General features: G+C 47.0%; 1 protein-coding gene across 46 annotated transcripts in view, besides 1 other annotated feature; it reads right to left on the bottom strand.

Moving 5' to 3' along the window:
• EVC (EvC ciliary complex subunit 1) overlaps positions 1–19,399 on the bottom strand; it is a 117,857-nt gene that overhangs the window by 90,256 nt on the left and 8,202 nt on the right. For all 46 annotated transcript variants that reach the window (XM_047449774.1, XM_047449769.1, XM_047449778.1 and 43 more), the window contains exons 3-5: positions 9,412–9,495; positions 7,145–7,377; positions 5,367–5,451 (exon numbers count right to left, since the gene is read on the bottom strand). In XM_047449774.1, the coding sequence (XP_047305730.1) occupies positions 5,367–5,451; positions 7,145–7,377; positions 9,412–9,495 (402 nt within the window). The remainder of the gene's footprint in view (positions 1–5,366; positions 5,452–7,144; positions 7,378–9,411; positions 9,496–19,399) is intronic.
• Positions 19,249–19,378: a silencer, noted in NCBI's record as "silent region_15224". NCBI's record gives its function as "represses an Ori minimal core promoter by ATAC-STARR-seq in GM12878 lymphoblastoid cells {active_cell/tissue: GM12878}" and the evidence as "EXISTENCE:reporter gene assay evidence [ECO:0000049][PMID:35858748]".

Below are 19,399 nucleotides of genomic sequence, written 5' to 3'. Positions count from 1 at the left end.
AAGGTCAAGAGATTGAGACCCATCCTGGCCAACATGGTGAAACCCCGTCTCTACTAAAAATGCAAAAATTGTCTGGGCGAGGTGGTGCGCGCCTGTGGTCCCAGCTGCTCGGGAGGCTGAGGCGGGAGAATCACTTGAATCTGGGAGGCAAAGTTTGCAGTGAGTTGAGATCTCCGTCTTAAAAAAAAAAAAAAAGTTGTAATCTTTTAGCTGGTGGAGGGTCTTGTCTCAATGTTGATGGCTACTGACTTATGAGGGTAGTGGTTGCTGAAGGTTAGGGTGGCTGTGGCAGTTTCTTAAAATAAGACCACTCTGAAGTGGGCCACATCAGCTGACTCTTCCTTTCACAAAAGATTTCTCTGCAGCGTGCCATGCTATTCGATAGCAATTTGCCCACAGTAGAACTTTAAAACTTGGAGTCAATCCTCTCAAACCCTGCAGCTGCTTTATCAAATAAGTTTACATAGTATTCTAAATCCTTTTTGTCATTTCAACAATGTTCACAGCATCTTCACCAGAAGCAGATTCCTTCTCTAGAAACCACTTTCATTGCTCATCCATCAGAAGCAGCTCCTCATCCAGTCATGTTTCATCATGAGATTGCAGCAGCTCAGTCCCATCTTCAGGCTCCAATTCTAATCCTAGTTTTCTTGCTATTTCCACATTTCCAATGACTTCCTCCACTGAAGTTCTGAATCCCCTCAAAGTCATTCATGAGGATTGAAATCAACCTCTTCCAAACTCTTGTTAATGTTGATATTTTGACCTCCTCCTATGAATCATGAATATTCTCAATGGCATCTAGAATGGTGAATCCTTTCCAGAAGGTTTTCAATTTACATTGTTCAAATCCTTCAGAGGAATCACTATGTATGGCAGTTAGAGCCTTAGGAAATGTATTTCTTAAATAATAAGACTTGAAAGTTGAAATTACTCTTTAATCAATAGGCTCAGAATGAATGTTGTGTTAGCAGGCATGAAAATGACATTAACTTCCTTGTACATCTTCATCAGAGCTCTCGGGTGACCAGGGGTTTTGAAAATGACCAGTAACATTTTGAAAAGAAGTTTATTTTCTGGGCAGTAGGTGTCAATAGTGGGCTTAAACTATGCTATAAACAGCTGTGTTGTGATCCAGGCTTTGTTGTTCCACTTATAGAGCACAGGCAGAGTAGATTTAGCATCACCCTTAAGGGCCCTAGGACTTTCGGAGTGGTGCATGAGCACTGGCTTCAACTTAAAGTCATCTCCCGCATTAGCCCCTAGCGAGAGAGTCAGCCTGTTCTTTGAAGCTTTGAAGCCAGGTATTGACTTCTCCTCTTTAGCTATGAAGTCTTAGATGGCATCTTCTTCCATGACCATATTGTGCTATTTCATCTGCATTGAAAATCTGTTGTTTAGTGCAGCCACCTTGCTCAATGGTCTTAGCTAGATCTTCTGGGTAACTTGCTGAAGCTTCTCCATCAGCACTTGCTGCTGCTTCACCTTGCACTTTTGTTTGTTCTGGAGACAGCTTCTTTCTTTAAACCTCATGCTCTGCTAGCTTCAAATTTTTCTTCTGCAGCTTCCTCACCTCTCTCAGCACTCACAGAATTGAAGAGAGTTAGAGTATTGCTCTGGATTAGGCTTTGGCTTAAGGGGATGTTGTGTCTGGTTTGATCTTCTATGCAGACCACTCAGACTTTCTCCATATCAGCAATAAGGTTGTTTTGCTTTCTGATCATTCGTGTGTTCACTGGCGTAGCACTTTTAATTTCCTTCAAGAACTTTTTCTTTGCATTCACAACTTGGCTGTGTGGTATAAGAAGCCCAGCTTTCAGCCTATCTCAGCTTTAGACCTGCCTTCCTCACTATGCTTCATAATTTCTAGCTTTTGACTTAAAAGTGAGAGACACGCGACTCTCTTTCACTCAAACACCTAAAGGCCATTGCAGCGTTACTAACTGGCTTAATTTCAATATTACTGTGTCTCAAGAAATAGGGAGGCCCAAGGAGAGGGAATGGCCAGTTGGTGGAGCAGTCAGAACACACACAACATTTATTAATTAAGTTTGTTGTCTCATACTGGCACAGCATGTGGTGTCCCCAAACAATTACAATCATAACGTCAAAGGTCACTGATCACAGATCACCATAACACAATAATAGTGAATAAGTTTGAAATATTGCAAGAATTACCAAAATGTCACACAAAGACATGAAGTGAGCATGTGCTGTTGGAAAAATGGAGCCAACAGACTTGCTGGATGCAGAGTTGCCAAAACCCTTCAATTTGTAAAAAAAAAAAAAAAAAAATGCAGCATCTCTGAAGCGCAATTAAGTGAAATGCAATAACGCCAGGTGTGCAGGCACAAAGTGCTGTGTGCTCCTCCCCCAGGGGTGGTTCTGATGTCACCATGGTGCAGTACCAAAACTGGGAAATTGCCACTGGTTGAATACTGCTGTCTACAGACCTTCTTCAGTTTTCACCCATCTTTATGCACATTTATGTGTGTGCATGTGTGTGTGTGTGTGTGTGTGTAGTTCTATGCAATTTTACCCCATGTATAGATTCACGTAAGTGCAGCCACAATCAAAGTAATATTCTAGCACCATGAGAACCCCCTAGTGCTGGTGCTCCCCTTTATTTAATCTTCCTCCATGCCCCCAATCTGTTCTCATCCTGGCCACTCTGTTTATAGAGGTTACACTCCAGCTTCTCCTGCCTCTTGGACAAGCCCAGAGCCAGTTTCTTCCTCCTCAGGGCCAGCCAGGGAGTTCTAAGCTTCTGGGATGCATGAGGGTCTCATGTGGTCTGAATAACTTCTGAACCCCAGCTCATCTCTACCAGGGAAACAGAGTATTTAAGTCTCCAGGCAGCACAGCTCCCAGCGGCTCACCAGGTTCTTACAGTCCCAGCACACGACGATAGAGTTATGCTCCCCAGAGCAGGAAGGACCCTGCTGGGAAGCAGCTCTTTCAGGGCGGTGCCAATCACACATGCAACACATTTCTCCTGAGCACCTTTAACATGCAGGGTGCAGGGCCACACCTGGGCATGCAGGGGCCTTTCACTCACACAGACCTTGTCCAGGTCTGATTCTGCCATCACCAGCTGTGTGACTTTGGGCAAGTGACTTAACCTCTCTGAACCTCAGGTTCCTCGTTAGTGAAGTGGCATGTAAAGCTTCAAAAAAGTAAAACATTTAAAGCACTGAGCCTACCAGAGTGTACGTGCAGAATAATCACTGCTGTGACCATGCCAGCCACACAGCTGTGATATGGAGCCCAGAGTTCTACCCACAGAACCCTCTCAAAGCAGGGCAGCTTGACTTCCCAGTAACTCCATATAGCAATAGCTGAAAGGATATTTTATTTAAGCCTTTCCTAAAGTGGCCCAGAGAGGTGAAGCAACTTACCCAAAGTCACACAGCTCCTAATTGTCAAAGGGTGGACTAGGGTCTAGGACTGTCCCTTAATCCAGTGCTCCTGGAACTTCCCTGGGTTTCCACCCACGAGACTCCCCACAGGGAAGCCTGACCATCTCCCCAGCTCTGCATTCCCTCAGGTGCCCCCTTCACACTCGCATGATGCTTTGTCACAGGCCTTTGCCATGCTGCCTGCCACCGTTTATTTTGTGACATCTGTTTACTGCCCTCCCCACTGCCCCAGAGAGTGGGCTCCACAAAGGCAGAGGCTGCCCCTGGGGTCTGACACAGTGCCTGGCAGTGTGCAGAGGCCACACCCCTGTGCTGGATGGTGAGTGATGCTGAACGCTCCCTCCAGGACTGTAAGCTGCTCCCTGTGGACACTCGCTGGCTGTGGGGCGAGGCCAGCCAGGACTACTCTGCTTGCCAACTGGACAGGCTCTGAGCCCAGAAACAACTGGTCCTCTCAGGAAGCATGGAGCCTTGGAGAAAACAGCCAGGGCCAGGTGTAGCTCACTGAGGAAAGCTGGACACAGGCTGCCTGGTGGCCCCCATCCAGGGACCTCCATGGGGCTGGGGATAGAGGGGGTGAAGGGCCATGCTCTAGTTCTTGAATTCTAGCATATTTACGGTTTCAAACATTGGCACCCGTTTATGAGGCCAGTCAGTCCTGCTCACACAGAGCCCAAGCTTCTTCCAGGCACATCCCCAGTGTGCTATTCTTGTTTTTTGTTTTTTGAGACAGGATGTCGCTGTGTTGCCCAGGTCGGAGTGCAGTGGTGTGATCACAGTTCACTGCAGCCTCCATCTCCTGGACTCAAGTGTTCCTCTCACCTCAGCCTCCTGAGTACCTAGGACTATAGGCACACACCACTGCACCAGGCTAAGTGTTTGTTTGTTTGTTTGTTTTTGTTTTTGGTAGAGATAGGGTTTTGCCATGTTGCCCAGGCTGGTCTCAAATTCCTGGGCTTAAGCAATCCTCCCACCTCAGCCTCCCAAACCCTGATATTATAGTCGTGAGCCACCATGCCTGGCCTCCAACGTGATGTTCTTGCTCTTCTCCAGTTTGTAAGAGTGCCCTGTAGACATATCTGTGTGTCTGTCCACCTGTTTCTAGCTCTCCTCTTTCTCTCATCTGCCTTCTCTCTGTAGGGTCTCATTCCTCATTCAGTAATTCAGAGAATGTGCCTTATGGAGAAATAACACTTTTTTTTAACCCCCGTCATCTTGATGCCTGAATAAACCCACCGGGGTTCTGCGGCTAAAGTGGGACTCCTCTCTCTGGCTTCCCATAGCTCAGGTCCGTGGCTGATTCAATCAGAGGCCAGGTGCATCTGGCAGAGACTAATGTTGTTTTCCCCACATCCACAGTTCTGAGTTCTTGTTCATTCAGTCAAGAGAACACGTGGCCCCATGAAAAGGTACTGAACTTCTCATCTCAGTGCCACTCCTGCAGCTTTATAACTTTGGGTAAATCCTCTGCCCTGTGCCTCAGTTTTCTCACCTGCAGAGTGGACATGATAATGACACCCGCCCCTCTGGGTTGTGCTGAGGTTTAAGTGTAATACTCCTGGGACCTCGTACATAGCAAGACTCAAGAAAATTCATGCTCATAAATATTCTTATCATTATTATCATTCCTTTAAACATATTGTTCTCTTTTAAATATCTTTTATCTCTATCTCCAGCAGGAGGTGTAGCCCGGGAGGAGGCACTCATCTTTCTGCTGAGGCCCCTACAGCTCTGGTTGAAGTCAAGGCCATGCCCCACCAACAGGCGTGAAGTGCTTTTCCATTTTGTGGCTGCATGCCTGACAGCGCCGCTTTCCCCCACCTCACAGCGGCTCTGTTTCCACTGATGTCTGCCTCTCAAGGGTCTCTGGGACTCACTGCACACAGAGTCCTTGTCTCCCAGCTCCTGTCCCCATGAAAAGGAGGGAATGCGAACATCTCCACCTACCATATGCTTTTCCTGCCTCAGTGCCGTGTCCAAATGCAGCAGGTCTTTTAAGTGAAGGCTGTAGATACACAGGTCAACGTCTACACTGCAAAATAAAATGAGAAGCGGAAAAGACTTTCAGGGTATCGGAAATGAAGAGTAAGAATATTGGCACGTCCCTCATCAGTACAAGCCACAGCACACCCTGCCTCAAACTCTCATTCTGCAGCATGCTGAGGTCCTTACGCTCACTCCAGGTTTATAAGAAGGGATCAAATGAGCTGTTTGAAACCCACTAATGGCCATAAGAGAACAGTTGGTGTCAGAGACATAGGTGCCTGGGACTTCCAAGAGAAAACCAATGGAGAGAGGGAAGGGAGAGAAATAAAAATGACGTTTCCTCCTTTGAGTATTTTCTAAAAAAAAATTTATTTACTTATCTTTTTAGAAATAGGGTTTTGCTCTGTCTCCCAGGCTGGAGTGCAGTGGTACAATCACGGCTTACTGCAGCCTCCACCTCCCGGGCTCAAGCAATCCTCCCACCTCAGCCTCCCGTGTAGCTCGGACTACAGGCATGCACCACCATACCCGGTTGATTTTGGATTTTATTTTAGAGATGGGGTCTCACTATGTTGCCTGGGCTGGTCTTAAACTCCCGAGCTCAAGCAATCCACCCACCTTGGCCTCCCAAATGTTGGGATTACAGGCATGAGCCATGGTGCCCAACCTCAAGCATTTTCATGTCTATCATCACGTGTCACCTTTCCTCGGTGCCTTAGCAGAGACATTCTCATGCCCATTTTACAGATGCAGAAACTGACTCAGGGAAGAGAGAATCAGACAAATCAAGTGACCATCATAGGGTCAACGGGGGCAGATACATGGCAGAGTGTAAAAGTCTTTGACCTTTTTTCCCTCATAGGCAAATGCATTTTAAATGATGACTCTCCCACCCAAACCGTTTCAAATCCTCTAAGTCCCAAATGCTGAAAGCAAGCCGTTCTAAGCCAGGGCTGGCCAGTCCAAGAAGGCCCCTCTTCAACGAAGTCCCTTCTGCCTGGGCCACTTTCAGGCTCAAGGTGCTGAGCCCAGTGTTTCTGCAGCAACTCTGAGCAGAGGCTGTGCCCTGGATCATCCCACCTCTTGGACTCAGCGGAATTTTGGAGCAGAGAGAGGCCTGAGGCCTGGTGTGTGAACCCGCCAGACTGAGCTTCTTAAGCCCCCACCACGTGCGGAGCCCTGCTCTGGGTTGGGTCAAATCCGGCTCCGTCACTCACGGCTGTGTGACCAGCAAGTCACGCAGCCTCTCTGTGTTTCCCTTTATTCTTTGTGAACTGGAGGAAATGACAGTACCAACTTCATAGGGGTGTTAAACGGAATTCATTCACTCACTGATTAATATTTACTGATTGCTGAACTTGTCCCAGGATCCCCCTCACTGGGCAAAATCCTCATGAGATCATCAATCCCTGTAAAGTGCTTAGCACTCTGCCCGGTACTCAGAAGTACCCACTTAATCAACTTCGCCAGTAGCTGGGAGCACGCCAGTGATTAAATGAGGCCTCCCTGTCATCTCTCCCCGGGGCTCAGGCCTGACTCCATAACCCCAGTGTTGGGCAATACAGCACAGGAAGTGACAAAGGCCTCTGGGGCTCCGATGGTGACGCTGGGTCGCTGTGTGTCCCTGGCAGAGTCACTGAACCTCTCTGGGCCTCTGTTTCCTCCTCTGACAATGATGTGACTCCCGGCCCACTCCAAGAGGACTGGAAGCCTCATCCTCCATTGCCCGCTCTCCTTACCTCTCGCAGGCCAGCACTTCAGGGAAGGCGTTCACCCGGAGGAAGGTGCGGCTGAGAAACCTGTCATCGCTGGTGGCCGAGTGGACGCTGGATGAGGAGCTGCAGTCGTCCTTCTCACCCTGGCTCAGGCTCCCCAGACTGCTGGAAGGAGAGGCCTCTACCGGCTGGTGTGGCAAAACAGCCTGCTTTAAGTTTTCATGCAGAGACGGGTTGGAGGAGCCATCGGCCAGAGGCTGGGGTGGCAGTAGGAGTCACACTCAGTCCATGTGATGCCTCTGGGATTTGATCTAGTATTCATAATTCTACCAGTGATTCACGCTAGCCGCTCACAGGAAGGTCTGCCTGGAGGAGACTGGCCAGGGTGCCAGCAGACACCACAGAGTTTCCGTCCCAGGTTCTGCCACATCGACAGCCCAGAGGCCCGAATCACAGTTCACTTGTCCTCACAAGGCCAGCCCCTCTGCACCAGGTTCCTTCCCCTAAACTGCCAACCTGGATCTGTGCCCCGGACACCCAGCGCACCCTCCTCCCAGCTGCCAACTCTGACCTACCTCCTCCATAGCCACCGCTTGCCCTGACCCAGTTCTCTCCTTGCTGCTGACCCCCTGGCCTGCTCCCTCCACGAATCCTGCCAACCACCTGTCCTTCGCCTGCACAGAGCAGGAGTCACCCTCCTGCCCTCTGCCCACCGACAGGCTCCACGCTCCTAATCAAGAAGCTGGAACACCATGCACACCATGCACACCACGCCCACAGGAGGTCACAGCCTGGGGCCTGGCATGGCTAGAGGGCCCAGCAAATGTCAGCCTCCACCTCTGGCTGCCCGAGCCACAGTGAAGTGGCTCTGGCTTAGACGCTCCTGGTGACTTCATAATTCTGGCCTTTCCAGACTTTGGTCCCCCTACCTGAAACACCCCCCATTTGTTGTTTGCTGGGCAGAAGCGTCCCTTCCTCCAGGCGTGGATCCTGGACCCCATACTGGCTCCACAGGTCCCTGGGGATCTGCCTCTTGCCTATTTCATCATGCACTGTCCTGCATTCTCGGTGTATTTCAATCCACTCAGGCAGTGAGGGCCTCCAGGGTGGGGCTGACGCTCTGCTGACTATGGCGTGATCCCCAGGGCCCACGCAGGGCCTACCCAGAGGATGGAGAAATGCCCTTCATCCACCCACCCGTCCCACCCTTCAACCACGTGAAGGATGTGGTTCCCAATGTGGGTTCCAGGGAACAGCTCCTTGAGCCAGTTACTGCTCACCACAAAGTTTCCATGGAAAAATTAGTTCGGTAAAGCTTGTGTTAAACAAGGTGAAATATTCCTTTGGTGCAGGAATTCTCAGAACCTCCAATAGGCTTTGGGTGTCTTCAAAAGCAAATAATAATTGACAAGATCCTAACATGTTGTGAGTGCTCAGATGTTGTGCACTGTTCTGAGCCCTCATGTATGTTATCTTGTGTAACACCCAAAACAACTGGGCGAGGCAGGAGCACCATCATCCCCATTTGACAGATAAACAGACTGAGGCAGGAGAAGTCAGGAAACGCCACACAGTGAATGGCTGAGATGGGGTTAGGACTGAGATGCTGTGACTCCAGAGCTCGTCATCCTGAATACCAAGAAAGCAAGCCACATTTTCCCAAACTTATTTCACTAGGAAACTTTTTTGCACAAAGCACCTCCCAGGCTGAGGGCTCCTGGAAGCGCCATGGAAGGTGTAACCATAGCCAGGTGTTGGGGTCTGACTCTGGCTCTGCCACTTCCTGTCACGTGACCTCAGGTCACTCGCCTCTCTGGGCCTCAGTTTCCTTACGTGTAAAGTGGAGACATTATTTACCTGATAGGCATAACACCAAGTTGAAACGCCTGATGCATGACAAATACTTAACACAACACTGGCCCTGTCCACATAAGTGTTCAGTAAGTGCCAGCTGCTGGCATTATTAGTCCAGGGCTCTGTGAATGAGGATTAGCGCTCAGAACTGAGTCGGTATCAGTGTTTGTATTAGTGTTAAAAAGGCAGAGAGGGAGCTGTCCTACTGTGCTGTTACCTCGTGTCCCTGGGGATACAAGGAACCATGGAACTTCCGTACCGTGGTTACCATGGGCATGTCCTGTTCCTGAGCCTCAAAACTATCCCTACTAAAATGACTTGCCATAAAACCCTCAAACAGGACCAAACATCACACAGTTAATCCCCCCACTTTCCTCCCAATCTCTGGCACATGACGGAAGTAACTGGCTTTCTATGATGGAGCTCAGGACTCTCACCCGGAACTTCTGATTGATGGGGTAGATGACTTTGGCCTTCAGGGCGAATGCTGTGATATTGCTGTTGGAAGGCGGCTCACATTCCTGGGAGGGAAAGACACAAACGGCATGGGAAACTTTCTGTAAAATGAAGGATAAGTTGTCAAGTTTTTCCAAAATGCCACATCCCATTTGTAATAGCAGCCTCAGAAAGGGACCATGATAGGCACATTTAGATTCATATTAGCTCTTCCTTGCCAGAAGGAAAATGGATGGATGGGTGGACAAACAGATGGATGGATAGATGGATGGATGGGTGAATGAATGGGTGGGTGGGCAGATGGATAGACAGGTGGATGGATGGATAGGTAGACAGATGAATAGATGGGTGGTTGGATGGAAGGATGGACAGACAGATGGGTGAATGAAAAGGTGGAGAGATAGATGGGTGGATGAAAAAATAGATGGGGATATGGACAGATGGATGAACAGACAAATGCTATCATAAGAGAATGGCACAATGTTCATTTAATTACAATCTTCAGCTTTGGAAGAAATAAGGATTTGAATAACTTAAGACTAATTAACAAGAGAGTCTCCTAAGGAATTAGAAAAAGCAAACACACAGAATAATTTTAGCATTGCCAGGGGTATAAGCACATGCAGTCATATTCACACACAAGAGTTGGGATTAGACCCTTAAACAAAAGGAAGTGGTTGGGCAAATCTTCTAACTCCTCTGAACCTCAGTCTTCCCAGATAGTAAACCAGCAGAGTAGCTGCCCTCGAAGACCACATTCATGAAGCACCCTGCTGAGTCACTAGAAAAGAGAAGAAACTTTAGGAAATAAAGGGTATTCAATTAGGAAAAGAGGAAGTCAAATTGTCCCTGTTTGCAGACGACATGATTGTATATCTAGAAAACCCCATTGTCTCAGCCCAAAATCTCCTTAAGCTGATAAGCAACTTCAGCAAAGTCTCAGGATACAAAATCAATGTACAAAAATCACAAGCATTCTTATACACCAACAACAGACAAACAGAGAGCCAAATCATGAGTGAACTCCCATTCACAATTGCTTCAAAGAGAATAAAATACCTAGGAATCCAACTTACAAGGGATGTGAAGGACTTCTTCAAGGAGAACTACAAACCACTGCTCAAGGAAATATAAGAGGATACAAACAAATGGAAGAACATTCCATGCTCATGGGTAGCAAGAATCAGTATCGTGAAAATGGCCATACTGCCCAAGGTAATTTACAGATTCAATGCCATCCCCAACAAGCAGCCAATGACTTTCTTCACAGAACTGGAAAAAACCACTTTAAAGTTCATATGGAACCAAAAAAGAGCCCGCATCGCCAAGTCAATCCTAAGCCAAAAGAACAAAGCTGGAGGCATCACACTACCTGACTTCAAACTATACTACAAGTCTACAGTAACCAAAACAGCATGGTACTTGTACCAAAACAGAGATATAGATCAATGGAACAGAACAGAGCCCTCAGAAATAATGCCGCATATCTACAACTATCTGATCTTTGACAAACCTGAGAAAAACAAGCAATGCGGAAAGGATTCCCTATTTAATAAATGGTGCTGGGAAAACTGGCTAGCCATATGGAGAAAGCTGAAACTGGATCCCTTCCTTACACCTTATACAAAAATCAATTCAAAAAGGATTAAAGACTTAAACGTTAGACCTAAAACCATAAAAACCCTAGAAGAAAACCTAGGCATTACCATTCAGGACATAGGCATGTGCAAGGACTTCATGTCTAAAACACCAAAAGCAATGGCAACAAAAGCCAAAATTGACAAATGGGATCTCATTAAACTAAAGAGCTTCTGCACAGCAAAAGAAACTACCATCAGAGTGAACAGGCAACCTACAAAATGGGAGAACATTTTCCCAACCTACTCATCTGACAAAGGGCTAATATCCAGAATCTACAATGAACTCAAACACATTTACAAGAAAAAAACAAACAACCCCATCAAAAAGTGGGCGAAGGACATGAACAGACACTTCTCAAAAGAAGACATTGATGCAGCCAAAAAACACATGAAAAAATGCTCATCATCACTGGCCATCAGAGAAATGCACATCAAAACCACAATGAGATACCATCTCACACCAGTTAGAATGGAGATCATTAAAAAGTCAGGAAACAACAGGTGCTGGAGAGGATGTGGAGAAATAGGAACACTTTTACACTGTTGGTGGGACTGTAAACTAGTTCAACCATTGTGGAAGTCAGTGTGGCGATTCCTCAGGGATCTAGAACTGGAAATACCATTTGACCCAGCCACCCCATTACTGGGTATATACCCAAAGGACTATAAATCATGCTGCTATAAAGACACATGCACATGTATATTTATTGCGGCACTATTCACAATAGCAAAGACTTGGAACCAACCCAAATGTCCAACAATGATAGACTGGATTAAGAAAATGTGTCACATATACACCATGGAATACTATGCAACCATAAAAAATGATGAGTTCATGTCCTTTGTAGGGACATGGATGAAATTGGAAATCATCATTCTCAGTAAACTATCGCAAGAACAAAAAACCAAACACCGCATATTCTCACTCATAGGTGGGAATTGAACAATGAGATCACATGGACACAGGAAAGGGAATATCACACTCTGGGGACTGTTGTCGGGTGGGGGGAGGGGGGAGGGATAGCATCGGGAGATGTACCTAATGCTAGATGACGAGTTAGTGGGTGCAGCGCACCAGCATGGCACATGTATACATATGTAACTAACCTGCACAATGTGCACATGTACCCTAAAACTTAAAGTATAATAAAAAAAAAAAAAAAGAAAAGAGAAGAAACTCATCAGTGGGCTGCTTTGCATAGTGGCACAACACACCACTGTCAAATCCTGCTCAGGAATCACCTCCCCTGACTCATTAATAAGAAGCTGGATGGACTTATCCATGGCCTGCCCTATATCCCCACATCCTCTGCATCTCTCTCCTCTTGGGTCATCCTCACCCCAGCCCTGCACTTTGTAAAGTCAGTGCTGAATCAATGCTTTGGAAACAACCGGATAGTGAATGAAGATAAGCAGACAGGCAAGCCCAAAGCCTGGCGCTGCAGACCATGAGAAATCTCTACTGGGCAATTCTGAACACACTGATGGAAGAAAACTGCATCTGTGTCAATCCAGTTGCTTCTCAACCACGTCTTGAAGAGTGAGCTCCATCACCAATGACCGATTTCCAATCACAAAGTTCACCTTGGAATAAGACACCCTATTGTGGGAAACACAGGATTGATCACTTGCTCCTAATTTGAGGTGCTGACACAGCCTCCACTGAGCCAGCACTGTGGCCTAGATACCTCTCCAGGAAGAGCTGCACCGCGATGCCCTGTGAGCAACACGGGAGGGACACTCCACACCAGGGGCTCCTGTTCTTGTCGTTTCTCTGTACCTTACAACTCACAAAAAGACTTGGGTGACAAGAATGGGGGAAGACCCCTCATTATTCCTTATATAAAATTAACTCAAGATGGATTAAAGACTTAAATGTAAAACCCAAAACTATAAAAACCCTAGAAGAAAATCTAGGCAATACCATTCAGGACACAGGCACAGGCAAAGATTTCACGACAAAAATGCCAAAAACAACCGCAACAAAAGCAAAAACTGACAAATGCGATCTAATTAAAGAGCTTCTGCACAGCAAAAGAAACTATCATCAGAGTGTAAGACAATCTACAGAAGGGGAGAACATTTTTACAATCTACCCATCTGACAAGGGTCTAACATCCAGAATCTACAAGGAACTTAAACAAATTTACAAGAATAAAACAACCCCATTAAAAAGTGGGCAAAGGACATGAACAGACATTTCTCAAAAGAAAACATTCACGTGGCCACCAAACATATGAAAAAAAGCTCAACATCACTGATCATTAGAGAGATGCAAATCAAAACCACAATGAGATACCATCTCATGCCAGTCAGAATGGTGATTATTAAAAAGTCAAGAAACAACAGATGCTGGTGAGGCTGTGGAGAAAAAGGAAAACTTTTACACTGTTGGTGGGAATGTAAATTAGTTCAACCATTGTGGAAGACAGTGTGGCGATTCCTCAAAGAGCTAGAAGCAGAAATGCCATTTGTCCCAGCAATCCTTTTACTGGGTATCTACCCAAAGGAATAGAAATCATTCTATTATAAAGATACATGCATGTGTATGTTCATTGCACTATTCACAATAGCAAAGACATGGAATCAACCCAAAAGCCCATCACTGATAGAGTGGATAAAGAAAATGTGGTACATATACACTACGGAATGCTATGCAGCCATAAAAAGGAACAAGATCGTGTCCTTTACAGGGGCATAGATGGAGCTGGAAGCCATTATCCTCAGCAAACTAACACAGGAACAGAAAACCAAACACCGCATGTTCTCACTTATAAGTAGAAGCTAGACAATGAGAACACATAGACACATTGGGTTGGGGGAACAACACACACTGGGGCCTGTCGGGGGCGAGGGGAGGGAGAGGATCAGGGAGAATAGCTAGTGCATGCTGGGCTTAACACCTAGGTTAAGCAGCAAACCACCATGGCACACGTTTACCTATGTTACAAAGATGCACATCCTGCATGTGTACCCCAGAACTTAAAATAAAAGTTGAAGAAAAGGTTTCAAGAAGTAAAAAAAAAAAAAATAACAGGGAAAACCACCAACGTACGCTACCTCCCCAAGCTTCCAAGGACCCTGCCACAGAGGTCACTGTCTCCACTTCCAGACAGAGAAAATGAGTCACAGAGAGGTGAAGTCACGTGCCCAAGGCCACACAGCTAATCATCACTAGAACCGGGATCTGAACTCAGCTTTGCTGGCCCCAGGTCCGCCCTCTTTAGCTGATGCCATGCTGGCTCTGTCAACATGATGTGAATAACAGCAAGAGTAAGTGCCATGAAGTTTAAAGGGAAGTGGGGGTTCGTGGAGAAGGTCCCTGAGCTTGGCTTCACCGTGTTCAGAAACCTATATCAGATACTGAGGCATCGCGCACTCCCACATCCCAAGTCCCCACATCCAACCGACCACCAATCCCATTAACTTAACCTCCTACATCTCTCTCGAATCCATGGCCCTGGCCTATGCCTCCAGCGTATTTACCCTGAAGGGCTGCAATCACTTCCTAACCAGCTCCTCATCCATGTATTGAGGGTCTGCCGTCTCCAGCCACCTTATGCATGTTTGCCCATTTAATTATCACACATCTGTCAGCTTGGGGAGGTGGGGACTATTATTATCATGCCCACCTTATGGTGCTGCGAACTGAGGATCAGAGGTTAACACCTTCCAATTCATTCTCCCTGTGGGAATCGAATTATCTTTTAAACATGAATTTCCATCGATGTGCCTCTTAAAATCCTTCCTGGCCTCCCTCTGACCTGAGGGTACAGAGCCTGGCCTGCTCTCAATCCCCTGCATTCTGGCCCACTTTCTGCTTGGAGTTTTGTCAGTGAACAAGGAATGGCAGGAAGATGGAAAAGGCTGAACTCAGGACTCACTTGCAGAGTCCATTGCAAAATGAAAATGGGGATTCTTATTTAATAATGATCAAGAATTTCAAGATAGTGACAGCAGAGTCCACCAGCCAAGAGTGGGCCTATCTGAGCGTGGTCCCTGTGACCTCACAGGTCACACCCAGGACACCAGCCCTGGCTGACTGTCCAGGGGAGACACATTTGCTCAAGGGAAAGATACAAAAGCAAAAGGGCCCTGTGCATTTGTAAACTTCCTACAAACAGGGGAGAAAAGAAACGACAAAGAAAAGGATGACCATGAGAGAAAAGCAAAATCCCTGCTTCCCAGGAGTTGACCTTCAAGGGGGGAATACAAAACAAAAACCTAATTATGAAAAGGAAAGGACCAGGCGCGGTGGCTCACACCTGTAATCCCAGCACTTTGGGAGGCCAAGGCGGGCAGATCACGAGGTCAGGAGTTTGAGACCAGCCTGACCAACATGGTGGAAGCCCGCCTCTACTAAAAAATACACAAATTAGCTGGGTGTGGTGGCGCATGCCTGTAATCCCAGCTACTCAGGAGGCTGAGGCAGGAGAATCACCTGAATCCAGGAGGCAGAGGTTGCAGGGAGCCGAGATCGCACCACTGCACTCCAGACTGGACAACAGAGTGAGACTTCATCTCAAAAAAAAAAAAAAAAGAAGGAAAGGATGTTGGTGCTGGGTCCACCCAAGACCTGTAGGCGCAGCACCTGGGGATGGAGGAGCCGGGAAATGGGCATCAGAAACACATCCCAGCTGGCAGGAAGGCTCCACCTGATCTGTCTACCTGCAGACTGCAACCCCTGCAGGGCCAGCCCAAGGACGGTCATGGTCTCTGCCAGGGGATGAAGGATGCAGGAGCATGTGACACCTGAAATCAGGGAAGGAGCGGGCTCTGCTACCTGAACAGGAGCCACTGCCTTTAGTTTTTTAAAGCTCTCCTCATTAAGGTCAGGTGTCCTCCAAATTCTGAGAGTCTCCCCAGCTGAAGCAATACAATTATTTAGAAAATTGGTTGCAGCGAAATGTACAAGGTAAAACTTCCTCAGCTGGAGCAATGCAATTATTCAGAAAATTGGTTAAAGTATAATTGCAGGAAATGAAAAACCATTTCCATCACCAATATAAAGGGGTTCTTTTCAGAGAATGCATAAATGCATCCTTAAAGGCACCCACTCTCCCTCCCTCCAAAGCAAAGGAGTGGGATGGAGAGACGGAGGCTGTGGAATAGCATGCCTCAGAGCCTTCTGGAATTTTGTTTGTTTTCGGCTGAGATGAGTTGTTCATTAAACAGAGGTCATCCAAGGCGTGGCAGGAACCACAAGGCCCTGGTTTTCTGTGCACTAGAGGACAAGAAAGTTATAGCTCGATCCACTGGGCCAAAGCAGCCCTGACCACATATTTTGACAAGCTCAGTCTGCAGAAAGCAAAAGCATTCTGACAAGCCAGTCACTGAAACAAGGAGATCTTTCACTTAACCCTTGGCAATTATTAGCTTGATAATGGGCATCTGCTAGGTGTAGCTGAATAGTGAACAAGACATTACTAGGCAGAAAAAAATAACCTTACAGCGGGGTAGAAATATTTAGGTCCCCCTGCAAACACTGATTGAGCACTTATTCCGTGGCAGGAACGTTCACACGCATTAACTCAGCCCTGGGTGACTCGGGAATGGCAGGGGGAGCACCATCACTGCTGTCATTTAAAATGAGAAACTTGAGGCTCAGACAGGTTATGCTTCCTGCCCAACATCACACAGCAAACATGTGGCAGAGCTGGGACTGGGTTCCAGGATTCTAGCTCCCAAAGCCAGATGTGTTTTCATCACATTCAAGGGTACCCTATGTGTGAGCAGCATTGTTTAACAGCTTTATTGAGATTTAATTCACACACCCTGCAGTTCACTCATGTATACTATTTCATAGTTCTCCCTATCTTCAGATATGTGCAGCCATCACTATAGTCAACTTTATTTATTTATTTTGAGACAGAGTCTTGCTCTGTCACTTAAGCTGGAGTGCAGTGGCACAATCTCAGCTCATGGCAACCTCCGCCTCCTGGGTTCAAGCAATTCTCCTGCCTCAGCCTCCTAAGTAGCTGGGACTACAGGCATGCACCACCACACCCAGCTGATTTTTGTATTTTTACTAGAGATGGGGTTTCACCATGTTGGCCAGGCTGGTCTCAAACTCCTGACCTTAAGTGTCTGCCCGCCTCAGCCTCCCAAAATGCTGGGATTACAGGCATGAGCCACCATGCCCAGCCTATCGTCAACTTTAGAACATTTTCATGGCATCAAAGAGAAACCCTGTCCTCTTTCACTGTCACCCCATCCCTCCCTTTCCTCTGCTGCAGCCCCTGGAAACCACTAATCTACTTTCTGTCTGTATAAATCTTCCTATTCTAGACATTTCACAGGAATGGAATCCTATAACATGTGGTCTTTTGTGAGTGGCTTCTTTCATTTAGCATGTTTTCTAGGTTCATTCAGGTTGTAGCACCCATCGGCCCTTCATTTTATTTTATGGCCAAATAACCTTCCAATGTCTGCATATATCACATTTTATTTTTCCAGTTTTTCTATTTGGGTTGTTTCCACATTTTGGCTATTGTGAATAGTGTTGCTTTGAACATTTGTGTACAAGTTTTTGGGTGGACATGTTTTCACATCTGTCAGCAGATTCTAGTAGTGTGAGAGGGTGGGAGGGGGCACAGCAGTAGAGAGAGAGGAGGGGAAGAGAGACACAGAGACAGGGAGATGCCATGCACCTGAAGCTCACGTACTGTCACAAAGATGCACACAGAAAGACCCACAGAGACACATGAGAGAGTGATGGACTGGGACATACACAGACACACGTGGAGAGGCAAGCACACAGTGTCAGAGACAGCACAGGGCACATTCAAATAGGGGCTCAATCAGTGTTTGGAGGGAGACCTAAGTCTTTTTACCCTGCTGTAAAGTTAACTCATATTTTCCTGCCTAGTAATGTCTTACCTGTTCACTATTTAGCTACACCTAGCAGATGCCCATTATCAAGATAATAATTACCAACGGTAAAGTTAAACATCTGCTTGTTCCAGACTCATCTCCTGCAAGCCATGTCCCGGGATAGCAGCAGAGGCTTCCCCATCTCTCCCCCCGTCCACGTTGGCCAAGGGCAGGGCAATGCCCCCCTCTACAGGGATCCCACCAGCCAGGGAGGGAGATGCAGGGCTAACGCAAAAGCTGATTGTTCAGAGTAACTAGAAGCTGAGCCCTACTGACGTCGGACCTTTGGGGAAATCCGTTTTTATATCCCGAGCCCACTTTCTTCTGTGGTAAGCTAAGGCTGCGGAACAGGATGGAACAGGTTGGAAAGGAGCAGAGGCTAGAAGTTGGGTGTGGGGACGCAGCACTCTGGAGCAGGGGCCTGGCAAACCCAAGGACAAATATCAGCTTGGCTACTCCCCCAGCTGCGGGACTCAGGAAAGCAGCCTACCTCTGAGCCTCGGCTTCCTCATCTGGAAAATGGGAATATAAATCAGATCAGCCTCACGTGGCTGCTGAGAGAAGGGCACGAGATCATTCACGTGAGTGTTGGCATCACTCACAGGTGAGAGGTGTAAAACTGCCTGGCATGAGTGATGCTAAAAAATAATGCTAGTTCCATCTCTTCCCCTTATTCCAGAAGATGAAGCCTGCAGTACTTCCTAGGGGACAAGGAGGTGACTAGAAATGTCACATCCTCTCCACCCACGGGGCTCACCCAGAAAGCGATGTTCTGTGGATAGAGGAAGGGTTCCAGGAAGGCAGGAACAAATAGAATTTTTTTAACATCTCTTCCAGAGGCCCAGCACCCCCACCCCCAGAGATTTAATTAAAGGAAGTAAAATGAAATGAAAATAAACAGACTTATGCACCAACATTCATAGTAGGCTTATTCATTACAGTCAAATTCTGAAAACAGCCCGGTCTGCCAATGAAATACACACAAACAGTGAGCAATCAACAAAGTGTGGCACATCCACACAGTTGACTGCCACTGAGCAATAAAAATGGGTGAATTATTGATACACACAACGAAAGGGAAACATCTTAAGGCATTCTGTGGAGGGAACACAGGCACAGAACAGCACAATTCCATTTGCATAAGGTTCCAGAACTGCAGAACCAATCAATGGAAATCCCACGCATGGGCACCTCTGGAAGTGTGTGGGGGCGGGAAGTGACCAGAAAGGGGCACTAGAGGACTTGCTGGGTGATGAAAACATTCTCAGGGGGGTATTTGTTCTAAGGGGCATGCAATTGTCAAAACTCATCAAACTGTAAAACCTAAAGTCTGCGCATTTGACTGTATGTAAATTATGCCTCAGAAAAGCAGCCCATTGGGAAACTATATCTGTCAGAGGCTTGTCTACATGACACCCGGCTTCCAGGGGGAATACCCCACCTCCCACATGTGCCT

The sequence above is a fragment of the Homo sapiens genome, chromosome 4 (genome assembly GCF_000001405.40).
Source record: "Homo sapiens chromosome 4, GRCh38.p14 Primary Assembly".
In the NCBI taxonomy this organism is placed as follows: domain Eukaryota; kingdom Metazoa; phylum Chordata; class Mammalia; order Primates; family Hominidae; genus Homo; species Homo sapiens.
The sequence above is the reverse complement of the archived record's forward strand: the minus strand, read 5'-3'. Positions and strand labels throughout refer to the sequence as shown.